The 22,539-nt window shown below is 37.1% G+C and overlaps 1 long non-coding RNA gene across 2 annotated transcripts in view; it reads left to right on the top strand.

Annotated features, from left to right (window-relative positions):
* Nucleotides 1–469: 469 nt before the first annotated feature.
* The window catches only part of LOC105374678 (uncharacterized), a 108,785-nt gene continuing 86,715 nt past the window's right edge, over nt 470–22,539 (top strand). Inside the window, exons 1-2 of one of the 2 annotated variants that reach the window (XR_925839.3) lie at nt 470–682; nt 3,334–3,435. This is a non-coding gene — a long non-coding RNA (uncharacterized LOC105374678). The remainder of the gene's footprint in view (nt 683–3,333; nt 3,436–22,539) is intronic. The other variant, XR_001742406.2, reaches the window with a different exon arrangement.

Here is a 22,539-nt window from a genome sequence, read left to right as displayed (position 1 = left end):
CAGGACTTTCTGAGGCTGTGTCAAGGGTGTGTCCTCAACCTTGGCAAAATAAACTTTCTAAATTAACTGAGACCTGTCTCAAATTTTGGGGGTTCACGTTTTGGTAACCACGGGGGGGATTCTGAGCGGAGATGCCTCTGACCTTTGACAAATCTCTTTTCAGTGCTTGGTACCAGCATGAGCTAACTTCATGGCTCAAACAAATAGGACAATTTGCTGAGGAATGAGGGCATCCCCTCCAGAGAATGCCTGATCTCCCAAAATTTGGTCGAGATCTAAAGTTTATTTTGCTATAGAACTTTTTTTTGTTTTTGTTTTTGTTTTTGTTTTTGTTTTGGAGCTTTACTTGCTTCTGACGGGAAGGCAAGTTTTCCTGCTTCCATGATGATGGAAGGCAGGTAACTTTTTTTTTTTTTTTTGAGACGGAGTCTCGCTCTGTCGCCATCTGGGCTCACTGCAAGCTCCGCCCCCCGTTCACGCCATTTTCCTGCCTCAGCCTCCAGAGTAGCTGGGACTACAGGCGCCCGCCACCGCGCCCAGCTAATTTTTTGTATTTTTAGTAGAGACGGGATTTCACCGTGTTAGCCAGGATGGTCTCGACCTACTGACCTCGTAATCCGCCCGCCTCAGCATCCCAAAGTGCTGGGATTACAGGCATGAGCCACCGCTCCCGGCCCGGCAGGTAACTCGATGGAGTTTGAGCTCGCTTCCAACAGGGAAGATGAGTTTTCTGTTTTGTTTGTTTTTTCCTGCTTATAGGATGGTAGAGAGCAGTATACAGCCTGAGACCCATTACTAGGCAAGAAACTAGTTTGGGATTCTGTCTTGCAAATTATTTCTAAACGACTCAAGTTAGCATGAACAACCAGCTGGTGTAATTTCTGCTTACACTTAGAGTGTACAAAAATCGTATAATTTGTGTGATTATTGTTAGTTTAGCAGCATTTCGTCCTAGCTGAAATATGATAGCAAGTTTAAAAAACTAATTTTTTTTTGTTAAAGGAGCTCAATAGTTAAAAGTCAGCTTAATGAAAAGGCTAACATCCAAGATGTGTGTGTGCATGTGTGCATCTTTGTATTTTAAAAGCCTTCATGTTTTTGTTTTTTGTTTGTTTTTCTCTCCTAAGACCTTGTTTTTTGAGCCAAGGTTTTTTTTTCTCTCTCAGTTGACTGAATTCTGTTTCCACCTGATTTTTGACTAAAATAGTATTGCAATGGAGGCTATTCTTGGCTTTTTTTTTTTTTTTTTTTTTTTGAGACGGAGTCTTGCTCTGTCGCCCAGGCTGGAGTGTAGTGGCGCGATCTCAGCTCACTGCAAGCTCCGCCTCCCGGGTTCACGCCATTCTCCTGCCTCAGTCTCCCTAGTAGCTGGGACTACAGGCGCCCGCCACCATACCCGGGTAATTTTTAGTATATTTAGTAGAGATGGGGTTTCACCGTGTTAGCCAGGATGGTCTCGATCTCCTGACCTTGTGATCTGTCTGCCTCAGCCTCCCAAAGTGCTGGGATTACAGGTGTGAGCCACTGCACCTGGCCTATTCTTGGATTTTTAAGGAAGAATATAGTTTATACACTCAGAATCTATGTCCTTAAGAAAAAAAAAAGTCAGTGCACTGTAAAAATGTCTCCCTCTAGCACCACCAAACTTTTTCTCTCTATACCTTTATGACGTAAATTTTGCTATTTGATTTTCATCGGAGTGTTTCTTTTAATATGCAAATTTAAGGCTATTTAGCTGACAACTGCCTAGAGTTGTAAAACAGGCTATCAAGTATCTGAAAGTCTAAGATAGAAGAAAAAAAGTGGGAGGGGTTCTTTATGAATCTATAAAATGTACTTCCATTGGCAGGCCTAATAAATTTGTGTATGTATTTATGTGTTGTGTACAGAATGTTTCACTACTAAAAATATGTAAAAGAGTTCTAATTAATTGGCTTAAAGAAAAATAAAATCAGTAAATTAGATACTAAAAAAGACTAGTCAAAGGCATCGTCAAGTTTATGTAACTTAAGTAAAATCTTTAATAAGTAAGCTAGCTTTAAAATTATTGCTAAAGTAATATTACAAATGTTTTAAGAATTTCCAGCATACATTTCTGTTTGCATTTATTAATCAAGCAATTTCATACTCATCCCTGCCAAATACTATAAAGTCTCAAAATTTGGCACAGGGGTTAGAAAACTATGAACCCAGCCCAAATCAAAATGATCTTTGCTTATGTCATTTTTAATAAATAAAACATTGATATGGCTTTAATGAAAATAGCTGCATCTTGAATTTAGTAAGATTACCATAACTTCTAATCCATAACGTCTAATAGACTGCTTTAGGCAGTCTAGTCCACAGACAATAATGAAATTTGTTTTGGGAAAGGAATGTTGTCACCTTTTGTTCAAAGCTAAATAATAAACTAAGTTCCTCCCAAAGTTAGTTCCGTCTATGCCCAGGCGTGAACAAGGATGGCTTGGAGGTTATGAGCACGATGGAGCCAGTTATGTCAAATCTTTTTTTCATTGTCTTTGTTATAATTTTGCAATGGTGATTTCAGAACTTCAAATTATAACTATCACAGTTTTCATAAATAATCTAGGTAAATAATTAAAATAAAATAATTAGGCAAATATAATGGGATAAATACTTGTAGACAAACTGGTTATAATTTAGAATATAAAGTTACATTAAATTAAATAATAATATTCCATTATTTGGGTGTTTGGGTGTTTTCTAATAAATATATATTGTAGGAAAACATTCTTGCTAAATAAAAGAAAATGAAAATGTATGTTTTTTTTTCCAAAAAAAAAAAAAAAAAGGTGAACAAATTTTGTCTGATTAAAAGCTCATTTAAGGGTTATGTATAAAACAAGGTAAAAGGAACCAGGAAAAAAAATGCGAAGAAAGTTATAAAAATAAAGAGGTATTTTTTTGAGGTATAAAAGCTTAAAGAAAAAATAATTTTGTATAAGAAAGAATCTTGTATGGTAAATTTAGTCCTAAAATAAAATAATGGTTGTTTAAAAAGGATGGATATTCAGAACAAATCAGAAAGCCCCACCGTGTCATGAACAGTCAGTGTAAGTCACAATAAGAGGATTTATACATATGTGAAAAAAACTTTTATAATTGTCCTATTATTATTAAGTTTTGTTTTGCTTAGGAAAAAAAACTGAGATTTTTTTTAAAGTTAAGGTTATTACATTTATGCATCTTCCTGTATACGTTTTTAGAGTCTTTGTAACATTGAGTTCCAGGGCTTTTGATTCTTGGGTCTAAAAAGGACACCAAGTTCTGCTAAATCTTAAACACTGATAGCAATTAAATTCTCATCTTCAGGCCCCCTAGAAGATGCCAATCAAAATAAACTGCATTCTTGAGACACAGGGCAAGAAATTAAAGCTATCCACCTCCTCAAGGCCCAGGGACTACGTGGAAGAGGTAGGCATGTAAGATTTTAAGGGTGGATTTTAAAAGATAAAATAAGTTCAATTCCTCCATAAATTAATTATTAATGTCAAAGGCACACTGATGCAAAACCAGTATATGGACCCGTGTATCATACTAACAAGGTTTTCATGAAGCATTAACCAACTCCTTAATAAAGGTTATAAAGGTTATAAAAGGCTTATGGAAGTTATATTTTGTAATCAAGATTAATAGATTGTTTATAAAAGTTTGAAAAACAAATGTAATTGGCTTCATGCTGTTTTTGTTTTTGTTTTTGTTTTTGTTTTTTGTTTTTGTTTTTTTTTATTATACTTTAAGTTTTAGGGTACATGTGCACATTGTGCAGGTTAGTTACATATGTATACATGTGCCATGCTGGTGCGCTGCACCCACTAACTCGTCATCTAGCATTAGGTATATCTCCCAATGCTATCCCTCCCCCCTCCCCCCACCCCACCACAGTCCCCAGAGTGTGATATTCCCCTTCCTGTGTCCATGTGATCTCATTGTTCAATTCCCACCTATGAGTGAGAATATGTGGTGTTTGGTTTTTTGTTCTTGTGATAGTTTACTGAGAATGATGATTTCCAATTTCATCCATGTCCCTACAAAGGACACGAACTCATCATTTTTTATGGCTGCATAGTATTCCATGGTGTATCTGTGCCACATTTTCTTAATCCAGTCTATCATTGTTGGACATTTGGGTTGGTTCCAAGTCTTTGCTATTGTGAATAATGCTGCAATAAACATACATGTGCATGTGTCTTTATAGCAGCATGATTTATAGTCATTTGGGTATATACCCAGTAATGGGATGGCTGGGTCAAATGGTATTTCTAGTTCTAGATCCCTGAGGAATCGCCACACTGACTTCCACAATGGTTGAACTAGTTTACAGTCCCACCAACAGTGTAAAAGTGTTCCTATTTCTCCACATCCTCTCCAGCACCTGTTGTTTCCTGACTTTTTAATGATTGCCATTCTAACTGGTGTGAGATGGTATCTCATTGTGGTTTTGATTTTCATTTCTCTGATGGCCAGTGATGATGAGCATTTTTTCATGTGTTTCTTGGCTGCATAAATGTCTTCTTTTGAGAAGTGTCTGTTCATGTCCTTCACCCACTTTTTGATGGGGTTGTTTGTTTTTTTCTTGTAAATTTGTTTGAGTTCATTGTAGATTCTGGATATTAGCCCTTTGTCAGATGAGTAGGTTGCGAAAATTTTCTCCCATTTTGTAGGTTGCCTGTTCACTCTGATGGTAGTTTCTTTTGCTGTGCAGAAGCTCTTTAGTTTAATGAGATCCCATTTGTCAATTTTGGCTTTTGTTGCCATTGCTTTTGGTGTTTTGGACATGAAGTCCTTGCCCATGCCTATGTCCTGAATGGTAATGCCTAGGTTTTCTTCTAGGGTTTTTATGGTTTTAGGTCTAACGTTTAAATCTTTAATCCATCTTGAATTGATTTTTGTATAAGGTGTAAGGAAGGGATCCAGTTTCAGCTCTCTCCATATGGCTAGCCAGTTTTCCCAGCACCATTTATTAAATAGGGAATCCTTTCCCCATTGCTTGTTTTTGTCAGGTTTGTCAAAGATCAGATAGTTGTAGATATGCGGCGTTATTTCTGAGGGCTCTGTTCTGTTCCATTGATCTATATCTCTGTTTTGGTACCAGTACCATGCTGTTTTGGTTACTGTAGCCTTGTAGTATAGTTTGAAGTCAGGTAGCGTGATGCCTCCAGCTTTGTTCTTTTGGCTTAGGATTGACTTGGCGATGCAGGCTCTTTTTTGGTTCCATATGAACTTTAAAGTAGTTTTTTCCAATTCTGTGAGGAAAGTCATTGGTAGCTTTATGGGGATGGCATTGAATCTGTAAATTACCTTGGGCAGTATGGCCATTTTCACGATATTGATTCTTCCTACCCATGAGCATGGAATGTTCTTCCATTTGTTTGTATCCTCTTTTATTTCCTTGAGCAGTGGTTTGTAGTTCTCCTTGAAGAGGTCCTTCACATCCCTTGTAAGTTGGATTCCTAGGTATTTTATTCTCTTTGAAGCAATTGTGAATGGGAGTTCACTCATGATTTGGCTCTCTGTTTGTCTGTTGTTGGTGTATAAGAATGCTTGTGATTTTTGTACATTGATTTTGTATCCTGAGACTTTGCTGAAGTTGCTTATCAGCTTAAGGAGATTTTGGGCTGAAACAATGGGGTTTTCTAGATATACAATCATGTCGTCTGCAAACAGGGACAATTTGACTTCCTCTTTTCCTAATTGAATACCCTTTATTTCCTTCTCCTGCCTAATTGTCCTGGCCAGAACTTCCAACACTATGTTGAATAGGAGTGGTGAGAGAGGGCATCCCTGTCTTGTGCCAGTTTTCAAAGGGAATGCTTCCAGTTTTTGCCCATTTAGTATGATATTGGCTGTGGGTTTGTCATAGATAGCTCTTATTATTTTGAAATACGTCCCATCAATACCTAATTCATTGAGAGTTTTTAGCATGAAGGTTTGTTGAATTTTGTCAAAGGCTTTTTCTGCATCTATTGAGATAATCATGTGGTTTTTGTCTTTGGCTCTGTTTATATGCTGGATTACATTTATTGATTTGTGTATATTGAACCAGCCTTGCATCCCAGGGATGAAGCCCACTTGATCAAGGTGGATAAGCTTTTTGATGTGCTGCTGGATTCGTTTTGCCAGTATTTTATTGAGGATTTTTGCATCAATGTTCATCAAGGATATTGGTCTAAAATTCTCTTTTTTGGTTGTGTCTCTGCCCGGCTTTGGTATCAGAATGATGCTGGCCTCATAAAATGAGTTAGGGAGGATTCCCTCTTTTTCTATTGATTGGAATAGTTTCAGAAGGAATGGTACCAGTTCCTCCTTGTACCTCTGGTAGAATTCAGCTGTGAATCCATCTGGTCCTGGACTCTTTTTGGTTGGTAAACTATCAATTATTGCCACAATTTCAGCTCCTGTTATTGGTCTATTCAGAGATTCAACTTCTTCCTGGTTTAGTCTTGGGAGAGTGTATGTGTTGAGGAATTTATCCATTTCTTCTAGATTTTCTAGTTTATTTGCGTAGAGGTGTTTGTAGTATTCTCTGATGGTAGTTTGTATTTCTGTGGGATCAGTGGTGATATCCCCTTTATCATTTTTTATTGTGTCTATTTGATTCTTCTCTCTTTTTTTCTTTATTAGTCTTGCTAGTGGTCTATCAATTTTGTTGATCCTTTCAAAAAACCAGCTCCTGGATTCATTGATTTTTTGAAGGGTTTTTTGTGTCTCTATTTCCTTCAGTTCTGCTCTGATTTTAGTTATTTCTTGCCTTCTGCTAGCTTTTGAATGTGTTTGCTCTTGCTTTTCTAGTTCTTTTAATTGTGATGTTAGGGTGTCAATTTTGGATCTTTCCTGCTTTCTCTTGTGGGCATTTAGTGCTATAAATTTCCCTCTACACACTGCTTTGAATGCGTCCCAGAGATTCTGGTATGTTGTGTCTTTGTTCTCGTTGGTTTCAAAGAACATCTTTATTTCTGCCTTCATTTCGTTATGTACCCAGTAGTCATTCAGGAGCAGGTTGTTCAGTTTCCATGTAGTTGAGCGGCTTTGAGTGAGATTCTTAATCCTGAGTTCTAGTTTGATTGCATTGTGGTCTGAGAGATAGTTTGTTATAATTTCTGTTCTTTTACATTTGCTGAGGAGAGCTTTACTTCCAACTATGCGGTCAATTTTGGAATAGGTATGGTGTGGTGCTGAAAAAAATGTATATTCTGTTGATTTGGGGTGGAGAGTTCTGTAGATGTCTATTAGGTCCACTTGGTGCAGAGCTGAGTTCAATTCCTGGGTATCCTTGTTGACTTTCTGTCTCGTTGATCTGTCTAATGTTGACAGTGGGGTGTTAAAGTCTCCCATTATTAATGTGTGGGAGTCTAAGTCTCTTTGTAGGTCACTCAGGACTTGCTTTATGAATCTGGGTGCTCCTGTATTGGGTGCATATATATTTAGGATAGTTAGCTCTTCTTGTTGAATTGATCCCTTTACCATTATGTAATGGCCTTCTTTGTCTCTTTTGATCTTTGTTGGTTTAAAGTCTGTTTTATCAGAGACTAGGATTGCAACCCCTTCCTTTTTTTGTTTTCCATTTGCTTGGTAGATCTTCCTCCATCCTTTTATTTTGAGCCTATGTGTGTCTCTGCACGTGAGATGGGTTTCCTGGATACAGCACACTGATGGGTCTTGACTCTTTATCCAATTTGCCAGTCTGTGTCTTTTAATTGGAGCATTTAGTCCATTTACATTTAAAGTTAATATTGTTATGTGTGAATTTGATCCTGTCATTATGATGTTAGCTGGTGATTTTGCTCGTTAGTTGATGCAGTTTCTTCCTAGTCTCGATGGTCTTTACATTTTGGCATGATTTTGCAGTGGCTGGTACCGGTTGTTCCTTTCCATGTTTAGCACTTCCTTCAGGAGCTCTTTTAGGGCAGGCCTAGTGGTGACAAAATCTCTCAGCATTTGCTTGTCTGTGAAGTATTTTATTTCTCCTTCACTTATGAAGCTTAGTTTGGCTGGATATGAAATTCTGGGTTGAAAATTCTTTTCTTTAAGAATGTTGAATATTGGCCCCCACTCTCTTCTGGCTTGTAGGGTTTCTGCCGAGAGATCCGCTGTTAGTCTGATGGGCTTCCCTTTGAGGGTAACCCGACCTTTCTCTCTGGCTGCCCTTAACATTTTTTCCTTCATTTCAACTTTGGTGAATCTGACAATTATGTGTCTTGGAGTTGCTCTTCTTGAGGAGTATCTTTGTGGCGTTCTCTGTATTTCCTGAATCTGAACGTTGGCCTGCCTTGCTAGATTGGGGAAGTTCTCCTGGATAATATCCTGCAGAGTGTTTTCCAACTTGGTTCCATTCTCCCCATCACTTTCAGGTACACCAATCAGACGTAGATTTGTTCTTTTCACATAGTCCCATATTTCTTGGAGGCTTTGCTCATTTCTTTTTATTCTTTTTTCTCTAACCTTCCCTTCTCACTTCATTGCATTCATTTCATCTTCCATTGCTGATACCCTTTCTTCCAGTTGATCGCATCGGCTCCTGAGGCTTCTGCATTCTTCACGTAGTTCTCGAGCCTTGGTTTTCAGCTCCATCAGCTCCTTTAAGCACTTCTCTGTATTGGTTATTCTAGTTATACATTCTTCTAAATTTTTTTCAAAGTTTTCAACTTCTTTGCCTTTGGTTTGAATGTCCTCCCGTAGCTCAGAGTAATTTGATCGTCTGAAGCCTTCTTCTCTCAGCTCGTCAAAGTCATTCTCCATCCAGCTTTGATCCGTTGCTGGTGAGGAACTGCATTCCTTTGGAGGAGGAGAGGCGCTCTGCATTTTAGAGTTTCCAGTTTTTCTGTTCTGTTTTTTCCCCATCTTTGTGGTTTTATCTACTTTTGGTCTTTGATGATGGTGATGTACAGATGGGTTTTCGGTGTGGATGTCCTTTCTGTTTGTTAGTTTTCCTTCTAACAGACAGGACCCTCAGCTGCAGGTCTGTTGGAATACCCTGCAGTGTGAGGTGTCAGTGTGCCCCTGCTGGGGGGTGCCTCCCAGTTAGGCTGCTCGGGGGTCAGGGGTCAGGGACCCACTTGAGGAGGCAGTCTGCCCGTTCTCAGATCTCCAGCTGCGTGCTGGGAGAACCACTGCTCTCTTCAAAGCTGTCAGACAGGGACACTTAAGTCTGCAGAGGTTACTGCTGTCTTTTTGTTTGTCTGTGCCCTGCCCCCAGAGGTGGAGCCTACAGAGGCAGGCAGGCCTCCTTGAGCTGTTGTAGGCTCCACCCAGTTCAAGCTTCCTGGCTGCTTTGTTTACCTAAGCAAGCCTGGGCAATGGCGGACGCCCCTCCCCCAGCCTCGCTGCCACCTTGCAGTTTGATCTCAGACTGCTGTGCTAGCAATCAGCGAGATTCCGTGGGCGTAGGACCCTCCGAGACAGGTGTGGGATATAATCTCATGGTTCGCCACTTTTTAAGCCGGTCTGAAAAGCGCAATATTTGGGTGGGAGTGACCCGATTTTCCAGGTGCGTCGGTCACCCCTTTCTTTGACTCGGAAAGGGAACTCCCTGACCCCTCGCGCTTCCCAGGTGAGGCAATGCCTCGCCCTGCTTCGGCTCGCGCACGGTGCGCGCACCCACTGACCTGCGCCCACTGTCTGGCACTCCCTAGTGAGAGAAACCCAGTACCTCAGATGGAAATGCAGAAATCACCCGTCTTCTGCGTCGCTCACGCTGGGAGCTGTAGACCGGAGCTGTTCCTATTCGGCCATCTTGGCTCCTCCCCTCTCATGCTGTTTTTATTAGGGCTTCTTGTTTAGAAAATTTAAGTCTCCTCTCTCAAAGAATGAAAGTTTTCACTTTTTTTGAAATCCTTGAATTATCGTTTTGGATAAATAAATGACTTTACAATGACCTTTAATCGTATTTTGTAATATCAAGCATTTTAAAACTTTTATATTTGACAAACTTACCAAAATCAAATTATGAATTGTGTCTTTTTCCAACTTAATCTTTTAAGACACTAGGTTCCCTGAAATCCAAAAATCACAGAATTTTTCTTACTTGGTATAAAAGTTATACAGAAAGCATTGTCAAATATGAAATGGTGTTTGGTTTTCTCTGGGCTGTATTTGTATAAATATGTTATTGATATGTGTAGCAAGATTATGGGAAACACCTGTAATTCTGATATAACTTAGTGTACATTATCAGTAGTAATCATAATTGTTATGTTAAAATTATTGTGTGCCACAGAAGTAACAAATTTTCCTTGTCAATTGTGTCTTTTAACTATAGCTGCCTTAAAGTTTTTTCATCCATGGACAATTGTTGCCTTGTTTTGGTTCTCTTTAGAAAGTGATTTTATAATCAGCTATGAATCTCCAACAGGTGTTCCTGAATGCAGGTTTCTGATAGCTTTGGAGACTGTGACATCAAAATAGAGAACAAACTTTCAGGACTTGTAGAAAGTGAAAATGTTCATGAGTATCAAGCAGAACAGGAATTAACTGCATGGACTGAACCAATCTTTTTGACGTTTTGCTTAATATGTTTGCTGATCCTTTGCTTTGTTTTTCAGAGTCTTAAAACTTTTCTTCTGAGCTATTGACAGCTTTTAACAATTTAGTATATTTCTATGAACAAAATTTGGAGCACATTTGTTTCTCTCTACCTGATTTCTCCAGAATTGGAAACTGCTTGTTAGTATTCTTAACTTATGGCAATACAGTTATTTGCATAAGTGCAATAAGGATCTGTTTTCATTTGTAACAGGTCACAATTGGAGAAACTGGTTATTTTACCAAGACTTTTACTGGAATGCTGTGCTTTCCCTTAAGGAATCAAACTTGACTTATGGAGCCAATAAAGCCCTTGGATAAACTGGCCTCATATTTTGTGTACACAGTTCCTGTACAAGGTTTCTGACCTGTGGCAAGTAAATAATGTCACTTTCTAACAGGTGCAGAAGCCCCAGGTTTGTCTTGAAACCTAAAGAGGAGAGGAAATTTCACCCAACTCATGGGTATTTGAAGGCACAATCCATGGCTGGGCTGGGCTTTAAAATGTCTTATCTGAGATTTCTCTTATTGAACAAAGTTCCATCAGAGCCAATTTAAAAGCCTATGTAAAAAAAATAATTATTCTTGCTGCAATGTATACAAATATTTAGGCCAAGTATAATAAGCAAACCAGTTCTACCATTATTTGTCTTTAGTAAAATGGAAAATGGAGAGAGAAAAAAAATTTCAAAATGATTGTATACCTGCTGTTAGATTCTAGTCTTTCCTAATGTTTTTTTTACAATTTTTATTATTTTCTACAGTTTGGACTGAATTCTAATTTTTCTTGGCTACAAGCCTTAAAATAATGCTTTCAATTTTTTTCCTTCTCCTTTTCATTTTTCCTAATTTGGAGTCACCAAAAACTAAGTTGTGCTTTTTTAAAACCCTGCAAACTGAAGATAGACAACTTAAACTTCAGAAGAAAATAACAGTAACCTATTTATATACATAAGCCACTTTCATACCTGCCTACTAATGTACGGATGTCAGAGTAATAAATGCCTTTCTCAAGCCAGCATTGCTATACCTGACCATTTATAGTTAAAAGGTGCAAGGATGTACAACGAAATGTTTAAATAACATAGGCATGAGGCCATCTTAATGATTCTGGAAATGACACCACATCTGAAACATAGACTCTGATCAGATTACAATTTAGTTGAGCTTGTGGCATTCTATATGCATGCTACAGGAACGTGCCAGTTTTAAAGGGGCCAGATTGACCAATGAAATGAAAATATGAGAGGCACAAAAATTTCCAAATTATTTAGGCCTTTAATGGCACCACTAATCTTTGCTATATCCTCTGAGATGAAATAAAATTTTGATACTCTATCTTGGCTAGGTAAGGGAAGACTTTGAGAAGTTTCCATTTGGCATTCCCCACTATAATAGCTCTTAACCTACAGGTCAAGGATTCTATCCAAGAGTTACTTCAACTCACAATATATAAATTCCAATTATACACTGGAGAACTGGGGAATTGACCTCTGGGGATCCAAAGGCCCAATGTGCATATTGTAAGTAAGGCTTAAGCCAGGGTTCCATTTATTACCTGGCCCCATAAGCTATGAAAGCACATTGGGCTTCTGGGAATATCTGTTTCCAAAAATGATGAAAATGTTTGCTTATGCCTCTTTGTTCAATTTGCAGTTGCCTGAATAAATGACCATAGGTCCCATAGGAGAAGAACTGAAGGAAAATATACTTATTGTGGTCTTGTGAAAACCCTTCTTCCTAGCTATCTGGCTGTCACCAGTAAATAGGCTTTATTTCTGATAATTGACACAATTCTGGGAACTGAGCAAGGAATCATGAATTTTTATTGAAGTGACCACCTTCATCTTCCTGCTCCTCTATTTCTGCCATTTTCTTATCGTAGATAGTAATTGGTACTTTGTTGCCTATATCTTTTGCCCCTAGGAACAGCATACTCAATTAACCATTTCTACCACTATCTGTGACAGGGTCATGCACCTTAGCTATCTTTCTGACCTTGGCATTTGTTACATAGTTGTGCCCTCAGGACTTCTACTGTGTGATAATTTCCCCCTCACTTCTATTATTTTGGAGCCCAAAATCCCTACAGATATTAATAATTTCAGCATTGTTACTGCCTTTCCTACCGTTGACTCCAGTCATACATAGAAGAGTCACCACTGAACTTTTAGTGATGCTGGTGTCCTCCTTGATACCCTAGGTGAAGAGTGTATACACTCTGAGTTTTCCTTTGAAACATTATCTACACTCTCCTAATTCTCCCACACTCATGTAATTATTTCAACCCGCATTTCCTCTTCCTTCAGCCTCTGTATTCTGCCATGACAATTCGGCCACGTGCGTGTTGCTCAGCATGTAGCTTTATTTTCGTCACTCTTTTAGAGCAGTGAGCTTGTCCTATTCCCTGGAGTCCCTTCCTGAACATTAAATCCTCATGTCCTGAGACACGTTTTTACTTATTAAATATTACATTTTAAGCTATATAAATCAAGTACTCTTAAAATGCCATCCCTGGGCTTCTCTCCTTACTCTTGCCGGGACTGCTAGCTAATCATTATAGTTTCTTTACTGAGTGGTCTCTCTCCTTTCTAATCAGGCCTAGCACATTCCCACCTGGATTGTGTTGAAATCTAATGCTAGTTATCAAGGTCTTGAGGCAGGGAAGTGATCACATTTGCCCTGATGAGAGAGGCCTCTACACTAAGAGCCTGACAAAGCCCTAGCTCTCACTAGGGTTGGGTGGAAAATCATGATCCCCACAAACTCTTAAGGTTCAAGATATTCAGCAGAGACAGGTGCTTTCATCGCATCTATCTAGATATCCAGTCTAGATGTCCCTTCCCATATCCGAGGTTCTCAGAAGTTATAACAATGGCCCTACTTTCTCATTATCTCTCTGCAGAGCATCAATACATCTAACAAAAAATTCAGCTCATCATTCCTTGAAGGCATTGATCTCCCAAATCTTTAAAAATCCTGAATCATTGCAACCTCAATGGCAGACCCTTACTGGAGCATTTTCTCTGGTCACTACAGGTGAAAGCATAAGCAATTGGACCCCCCCATCTTGCTCTGGGGACAATCTATGTCCCACCTACCACACAAGATAGCATATACCTGCCAGGTGATAAGTAATCCAATCCCTAAGTCCTGTCCTATTGTCTTTTTCTTGAGCCTCTACTGGTACTTGAGCCAGCTGAGGTCCTCTGAAGGGGATTTGGTGTGAAAGGATTTTACTGAGGAAATGTATTAGTAAAGGTTCTCCAGAGAAACAGATACACACACACACACACACACACAGAGAGAGAGAGAGAGAGAGAAAGAGAAAGAGAAATGTATTACGAGGGATTGGCTCACATGATTATGGAGGCTGAGAAGTCTTACGATCTACCATTGTCAAGCCAGAAGCCCAGAAGGGCTGATGCTGTGGTTCCAGTAGAAACCCCAAAGCTTCAGAATCAGGGGAGCCAATGGAGAAAGTCCCAGTCCAAGTCTGAAGGCCTAAGAACCAAGAGAGGCAACGTCAAAGTTGCCTCTGTAGAGGGGAATATAGATGTCCAAGTTTAAGCACAGAGAACAAATTATTTGTCCTTCCTCAGCCTGTTAGTTCTACTTAGTCTTTCAATGGATTGGATGATTACTACCCACATTGGAGAGAGTCATTTTCTTAACTTAGTCCACCAATTCAAATGCTAATCTCTTCCAACAATGCCCTCATAGACATACCCAGAATACTGTTTTACCACTATCTGGGCATCTCTTAGACCAATTACGTTCACATATAAAATTCATCATCACAGGAAGATACCTGCAAAAGATTAAGGAGAAGTACACAAGGAGAGGCATCAGAGATTAATGAAGAGAAGAAACGTGCAAAATGAAGCATAGAAAGAAAAAAATTGGAAAGGAAGTATCTTAGACTGTAATTTAGATCTGAGGAAGTTTTATCGAAGTCCATGGGAAGTCCCAAGCTGTGCTTTTTAGAGTCAGGGGTGCATGTACCATGTCAGGCTCAACTGTACAATGACTACCACACTTAGTACCAAGACTACAGGCTCGGTCTGGAAATCATGTTCTTAATGCAAATATGGTGACAGTTCCAGAAGTGTGGCCTCACAGCAAGAGATATGAGTGGAGCATTTTCATGGGCCACCACGTTGTTGAATCACTAATATATATTCTTAAAGAAGGTGATTTAAAATACCTAGTGTGTGATTTTTTAAAATTTATACACTTCTTTCTTTCTTTACTTTCTTTTTTCTTCTTTTTCTCCTTTCTCTTTTTCTCTCATATATATATATATATAGAATTACATATATATTACATACATATATATTGTTACATACACATATATGTAATTCTTCCCATAAAATTGTGAGCAAGTTCAAAAACATTATTTTGAAGATTAAAATTTGGTTGCTTACAAATTAGTATTTTATTTTTAAATTTTCTGCTGAACTTAACAAAAATTGTTTAAAAGCCAATGTTTTCTAAGAAGAATAATTGTAGATCTTTTTTTATAAAACATAAGCCTTCCTATTAAAAATTAATTTCTAACTGTGTGATCTCTGACATTAATTTAATAATTGATCACAGAAGCATCATATAGACATTGTATCTATATAGAAATTTCTATATAGATACAATGTCTACCCCTTTGATATATTAGGTTAATAAGGTGGTACTAACAGCAGTATAGAGTTATTGTTTCTGGGTTTATATGAGAGGAAAACAAAGAATGGGAAAAAAAAGAAAGGAAAGACAAAAAGAAGTGAAGAAAGGAAAGAAAAAGAAAGAGAAAGAAAGAAAGAAAGAAAGAAGGAGTTGTCCAACTCCTCATATGACAATAGATCAATGTGTATAATCATGCTTCCCAAAAGGAAGAAGCAAATAATTGGGGAAAATAAATACAATCTGTAATAAGCGAAGAAGTTGAAAAACAAAGAGAAAGATTAATTAGTACTTATTTTAAAGAATAGGCACAGTCCTACAGTTGACCAGAAATATAACTTGTTGTTTTATAAACTGCATTTATTTAATTTAAGGAATATTTATATATGTCTCTAGCCTCTACCATTTCCCAGCAAAAAATAAACAAATAAAAATAAAATAAAAAGGAGATTTTTGTTAAGGTCTTGTATTATTATTTCAATGTTTTTATCTAGAGTATGTTGAGAAGTATACCATTCGAAGTGTTGCAGAATGTGCATTTTATAGCAGTGATTTTTTTAAATTAACATAGGTGACTGGTACACAAAAATTAAATGAAAAAAATTTATTTAACTTTTGTTTTATATCTTAAGGTTAGGAATGTTAGGATTCCACAGATTTCTTATGAAGACAGTTGATAACTCTCATCCCCAAATATTGACATTTGTAACTCATGTTTCATGTCTTTTTCTTCCAACATTTTGTCATGGATGATCAGCAAATGTACCAGCTTTTGGCTGTGCAAGAATTTATAAACATAACAGTGGGATATTTAATAGTAAATTCTTTCTTTCTTTCTTCCTCCCTCTCTCTTTTTCTTTCTTTCTTCCTTCTTTCTTATAAATATATAACTTCTTTCTTATAAATATATAAACTTTATCACCAGCCTTATATTTTTTATAATTAAATGAAGAAAATGACAATTGTATATAAGTCCATAATATTAATATTTTCTAGTATTCTAAGATTCACTTTTCCACAAACATGTCTTAATCTTATTTTGTTTTCATTCTTGATACATCTCCTGTGTTCATACCACACTAATATATTTAGTTTATGAATAACAAAATGCACTTCAATTCCATGAATAGAGGTTTTCATTTATAACTGAATTGAATTCAGGCAATAATTTGTATTGCTTATCTATTTAAAACCACAACTCTATATATTTTAATTATCTATATGTCTACTGAAAAAAGATGTATCTGGAATCAACTAAATTGAATAAAATAAGTTGGACATATATTTTAATATGTAAAACACTTAAATATTTGTTATGGAAAATCAATTGTTTAAACAAAAGTTGTCAATATTAGTTGAAATCATTTCCAGTTAATTTATGTGTTTATTCGTCTTCATTAAATGAGACCTTACATATATATTATACAGACACACTTCCTATGTTCTCCAAACATAAGGAAATATTTCCTAAATTTTTATTTTTCAGTTTCCACTTGGATAGCTATTATTAAAATGTCTCCAGTAGCATTCTTAAAAACATTTAAAGTAATTTTCTCTCTTATTCCAGCATTTTCCTTTATTACTTGTAAAAGTTTAAACTACTAATATATCTGCGTTAATAAAAAATAGAAAAAAAGCTATAAATCACCAAGATTTGTTTCTAAAATGTACATCTCGTACTTGACATTTAAGACAAATGTCTTCTACCTTTTTAATATTTCATAGAAGCTGTTACTGAAAGGTCTAGTTCTTAACCTAAATATCTGGCTTTTATTCAAAGCTAAGGTTATCATTTTCCTTGAAATATGATTCCATCTGGGAATACTTACCGTAAATCTAATTGATTGATTAAACAACTCCTTAACGGTATAGTCTTGATGATACAAACATAAATGACTTCAAATAAAATTATAAATAACTAATGTAAAAAACTATATTGTATTAAAAGATCATTTATATATATTTTAAATGTATCTATACCAACAATTTTGTTTGCTTTTTTTATTCAGCTTCCAGAAAATATGGGAAAATCTGCAAATATCTATAATACTTAGTAAAATTAGTAATATTTTTCCTTGGGAAGGGAAGAAGCACTTGCTGAAAATCACTGTTAGGCAGACAGCTAGATAAGCTCTCTAGTTTTTATCATTTTATCACAACAATTCTCTAAAATAATTAGAACTATTCAATTTTTCTTAAGATGTAAGAAAGGAAAAGGAAAACAAATTTTTGAGAGCCAACTTTTCCAGCAAATATCTCTTTGTAAGAAAGTGGCAAAGTGACAATTCAAAACAGCGCTTCCTGGACTCACTTTTTTTTTTTTTTTTAATTTTTGTTTTTTGAGACAGAGCCTCCCTCTGTTGCCCAGGCTGGAGTGCAGTGGCGCGATCTCGGCTCACTGCAAGCTCCGCCTCCTGGGTTCACGCCATTCTCCTGCCTCAGCCTTCTGAGTAGCTGGGACTACAGGCCCCCGCCACCACGCCAGGCTAATTTTTTTGTATTTTTAGTAGAGAGGGGGTTTCACCATGTTAGCCAAGAAGGTCTCGATCTCCTGACCTCGTGATCCGCCCATCTCGGCCTCCCAAAGTGCTGGGATTACAGGCGTGAGCCACCGCGCCCGGCGCTGGACTCACTTAAAAAGAAAAAGACAAATTATACTGGTTCTATCTTCACTACTTTAAACTACTTAAATACAGTAAACATTTTTAATATTTTTGTCCTTATTTATATTCCTGCAAGATCCTTATTACTCCATTCAACAAATATGGATTAAACTTTATATATAAATGAACACTGATTTTTGACTGACAAAGGTGGCAATTTTATATGGTTATCCTAATATTTACTGAGTGTTTCTTGTATGAAGAGGATATAATACTCTAATTTCTTTTCTGTGTAATGAATACTGCAAAATTTTGTGGATTAAGACAACATTTAGTACCTAAATGTTTTTGAGAGTGAAGAATCCCATCATGGATTAACTGGTTCCTTCCTTTCAGGGTCTTTCATAGGCTACAATCCAAATGTCAGTGAGAAAGCAGGAAAAATCTGAAATCAACACCCTAACATCGCAATTAAAAGAACTAGAGAAGCAAGAGCAGGGCTTTAGTCTCTTCTGAAGACTTAACTAAGGAAGGATCCACCTTTTATTTTATTTTTTTTGAGACAGAGTTTCTCTTTTGTTGCCCAGTCTGGAGTGCAATGGCACGATCTTGGCTCACTGCAACCTCTGCCTCCTGGGTTCAAGTAATTCTCCTGCCTCAGCCTCCCGAGTAGCTGGAATTACAGGAATGCACCACCACGCCCGGTTAATTTTGTATTTTTAGTGGAAACAGAGTTTCTCCATGTTGGTCAGGCTGGTCTCGAACTCCCAACCTCAGTCAATCCACCTGCCTTGGCCTCCCAAAGTGCTGAGATGACAGGCGTGAGCCACCGCACCCAGCCAGGAAGTATCCACTTCTAAGCTCATTCTTGTAATTCAGCATTCAGTTCCTCAAGACATTTGGACTAAGGGGCTCTGTTCCTTACTGTTAGCCAGAGTCCACCTTCACTTCCTGATCACATGGACCTCCCTAGCTTGTTTCATCAGAGCAAATACTCAAGGAGAGCCAGAGAGAGAATTCTCGCATGAGAGAGAGTGCCAGCAATATGGAAGTCACATTTTTAATAAACTAACCTTATAAATAATATCTCATCACTTTTGCCATATTCTAATCATTTGAAGATAGTCACTAGGTCTTGCCCATACTCAAGGAGAGAGGATTTCACAAGGGCATGAACATTCCTTTTGTGTTCCACTACTGACCACACTTCTGTAAGTAATCCATTAAAGGTTGATAATTTGAAACATATGGGGGTGAATTTTCTTTCTGGACAGCCCCATAGTCGATACAGGGAACCGTGCATCCTTCATTGGAACTATTGCCTGCCAGGTAGCTGGTATTCAAGGATCAAGAAGCCACCACCAATGTTGCATTCATTACTTGCCAGCAATGAAGTCAGCTTCAGCCTCAGGAAAGTGGTATTCAGCCACTGTCATCACCTCTCCATTGAATCGTTACACTCACTGAGCTAATGACATATATGAAACTCTGCTGTCAAAATCTGCAATTACTCTATGACTTTGCTTGCCTGGCAGCAACAGCTGAAACAGCAAGAAGACATCACTAGAGCTGTTTCCAAATCTCACAAGATGCAGCTAATTGGTAGGAGCTACCTGACTTAGTTCTGCAATTTATGCCAGAAGAAGATAAAACTTGATTCTAAGTGCTGGGCTACCAGTTTTACCCATTCACCTCAATAGTCTATATTGTTTCTATGATAATGATTTTGTGGAAAGGGAAATAATAAAGAGGCAGCAGAGAGAAAGGGCAAATACAGGAAAAAGCTCCTGGAAAGGGATGGGATATTAACAATTATATTACATATTAGCAATTTATACATTCAGTTGTTAAGCTCATTTATTAGGAGTCTGATATGTCACAAGCCTTGAGCCCAGGAATCAAACCCACATTATCCAGCCTCTAGGTACTGGCAGAGGAAACAAGTGAATACCAGTTACAATACAGTGAGATAGACATTATAATTTATATATACATATATGTATATATATGTGTGTGTGTATATGTGTGTGTAAATATGTATGTGTATATAAAATTAGAGTAGGCATTAAAATAGCCGTAGGAAAGAGAGCATTTAGAAACTACTTCCCAGAGGGGAGTTTTATTTTGGATAAGGATAAAGCAATGACAGAAAGTAGGTGTGCTATTTTCAGAGATTAAGAGGCATAAGAAAATATGGCACTAGGAGAACATTTATTAACTGCATTTCATGTGGTGGGAACACTTGATGAAATTATATAGTTGTGTAGAATTTTGAGACCGATTACCTAAATGAGAGAGGGAGCCTTCTAGAGTGAATCCAGGAAAATCAAACCTACCCTAGAAAATTGAATTTTCTTTAGGAAAGCATGTTAAACCCAGGAAGTTTTTGTGACCTAGAAAAACTAGTTTTTAGAATTTTGAAAATAGATTGGACATTCAAAAAAATTCAAGGCTATGTCAGGAATTTGTGGTCGTTCTTGTTTACAAAGTGAAAACTGCTTAGCCAGTTCACATCTGGAAGAAACGAAAAGTAACAGATTGATAAATACTAAGTTCACACAGGCATTGAAAGTGGAAAGAAGTTCATATTTACATGAAAAATGATGAGTTAACTTTTAGACATGCTGATATTTTTATGTACACAAGACATCCAAATTGAGATTAATTAGGCAATTGTATGTGGTCCTAGAATTCAGAAAAAACTAAAAGGAATTGGAAAGAAATGCAGTGCATTTTATCAACCTATAGGAAGTGGCAAAACAAAAATGATTTGGATAAGAACGCCTGGGATGACATACAACTTGAAAAGATATAGGGAAAAACGACCAAAATCTGAAGAACCCTAACATTTATGATGAATGTGGAGTCATTGGCCTGAGATGGGCATATTTATCTTCATTTAGTAACAAAATATGATTTTTTTAAAGCTGAAATTCATCCAAGTATACAGCGAGGAGAGCTAGGAATGTAATGTAAATTTTATCTGAAATGTTTAATAAGAAAAACGTTTCTTCTTACTGTAAGTAAGAAAGAAGGGGAAGTATGTGAATTATGTCTGGAAGTTAAGAAAATAGTTTGAAATGCTTATGCCTGGGTTTAAAAAAAAAAGAATGCTAAACATATAAACACCACGTGAATAAATTGAACATTGCAAATGATAGCTTATGTTATGTCAGAGAGTTGCAAAAAGTAAATATTTTTAAAATGACCTACTGAAGTTTCCAAGAGAAAAGATGACAAATATTATATGTCATCATCAATATTAAGGGAAGTTTAGAATAGAGAAGTAATAAACAAATAAATAATTGATTATATATATGGTGACAGAAAATTCAAAATTCAATAGGAAGTCTTTAAGTAGGGAAAACATTCTGTTAATGGAATATTTTGAAAGCCCACATCTAAATTAGATAAAAGTGAAGATGGGGCCAGGTGCAGTGGCTTATGCCTTTTTTCCCAGCACTTTGGGAGGCTGAGGTGGAAGGATCAATTGAGTCCAGGAGTTTAAGACCGTTCTGAGCCACGTCTGATCCTGTCTCTACAAAATATAGAATAAAATTAGCCAGTCTTGCTGGCATGCACCTATGGTCCCAGCTACTCTGGAGGCTAAGGTAGGACAATCTCTTGGGCCCAGGAGTTTGAGGAGGCGGTGAGCTGTGACCACAACAGTACTCCAGCCTGGGTGATACAACAAGACTTTGTCAATAAAAGAAGGAAGGAAGGAGGGAAGGAAGGAAGGAAGGAAGGAAGGAGGGAGGGAGGGAGGGAGGAAGGGAGGGAGGGAGGATGGATGAAAAAGAAAAAAGAAAAAAAGTAAAGATTCTCTGATTATAAAAGGGATGAGGGTACCTGAGTGTCTTCTTTATTCTGGAGGATCCCTGAGGAACTCATGTAAAAAGGTAGTTTTAAAAGTAGGGAAAATGGAAACAAAACTGATAATTATGTATGTTATTTGAAGTTTCTGAATAACATGTGATTTAAAAAATTAGATCTGAAAAATTCTCTGCAAAATATTTTCTGCTTTTATATATTAATTTATTAAGTTATTGATTCAAGCATTTATTCAACAAATGTGCAGATGGTATGCAGTTCTCTTCTCAGGGCAACACTGTTTCAGACTCACAATCCCTGGGCACCCAAACTCATCACAAAACATCTTACAGAGTCATATGTGAATAAATAGATAAGTTATTCACAGATTGCATACACATACATTTAGAAATTCTGATGCAAAAATTTTGTAAATAATTAACATCTTAGTGTCAACATTTACATATTCTGTAAAGATAAATAATTATTTCCATATATAACTTTGGCTCTAAAATTTTCAAAAGGAAATCTCAGTACCATGGGTTTTAATCTTTTTCAACATGTTTCTTGTAAGAATTTAAGCTTGATCACATTTACCAATGTGTCTATCTCTGCTGCTGCTGACAGGGTAGATCGTGTTGAGACTGTGATTTACAGGATTTTATTAAGCTGTTCAAGGTTCTCCTTATAATATATTTATTCCTGATGACCTGGTTTCTGCACTGTCAGCTAGATATATTATAATCTATCATTTTGGATCAGCAGTATTTCTAGGTTCATTATGATTTTGTGCAGTCGCTCTTTTGAGATGCCATAAATTAATATCAATTTTATTTCCTTAGAAAGACTTATGCACATTTCTATACTGATTGAACTCAAGTCACTCAACTTTCTGAGGTACTATGACAGA

The sequence above is a fragment of the Homo sapiens genome, chromosome 5 (genome assembly GCF_000001405.40).
Source record: "Homo sapiens chromosome 5, GRCh38.p14 Primary Assembly".
Classification (NCBI taxonomy): Eukaryota; Metazoa; Chordata; class Mammalia; order Primates; family Hominidae; genus Homo; species Homo sapiens.
The sequence above is the reverse complement of the archived record's forward strand: the minus strand, read 5'-3'. Positions and strand labels throughout refer to the sequence as shown.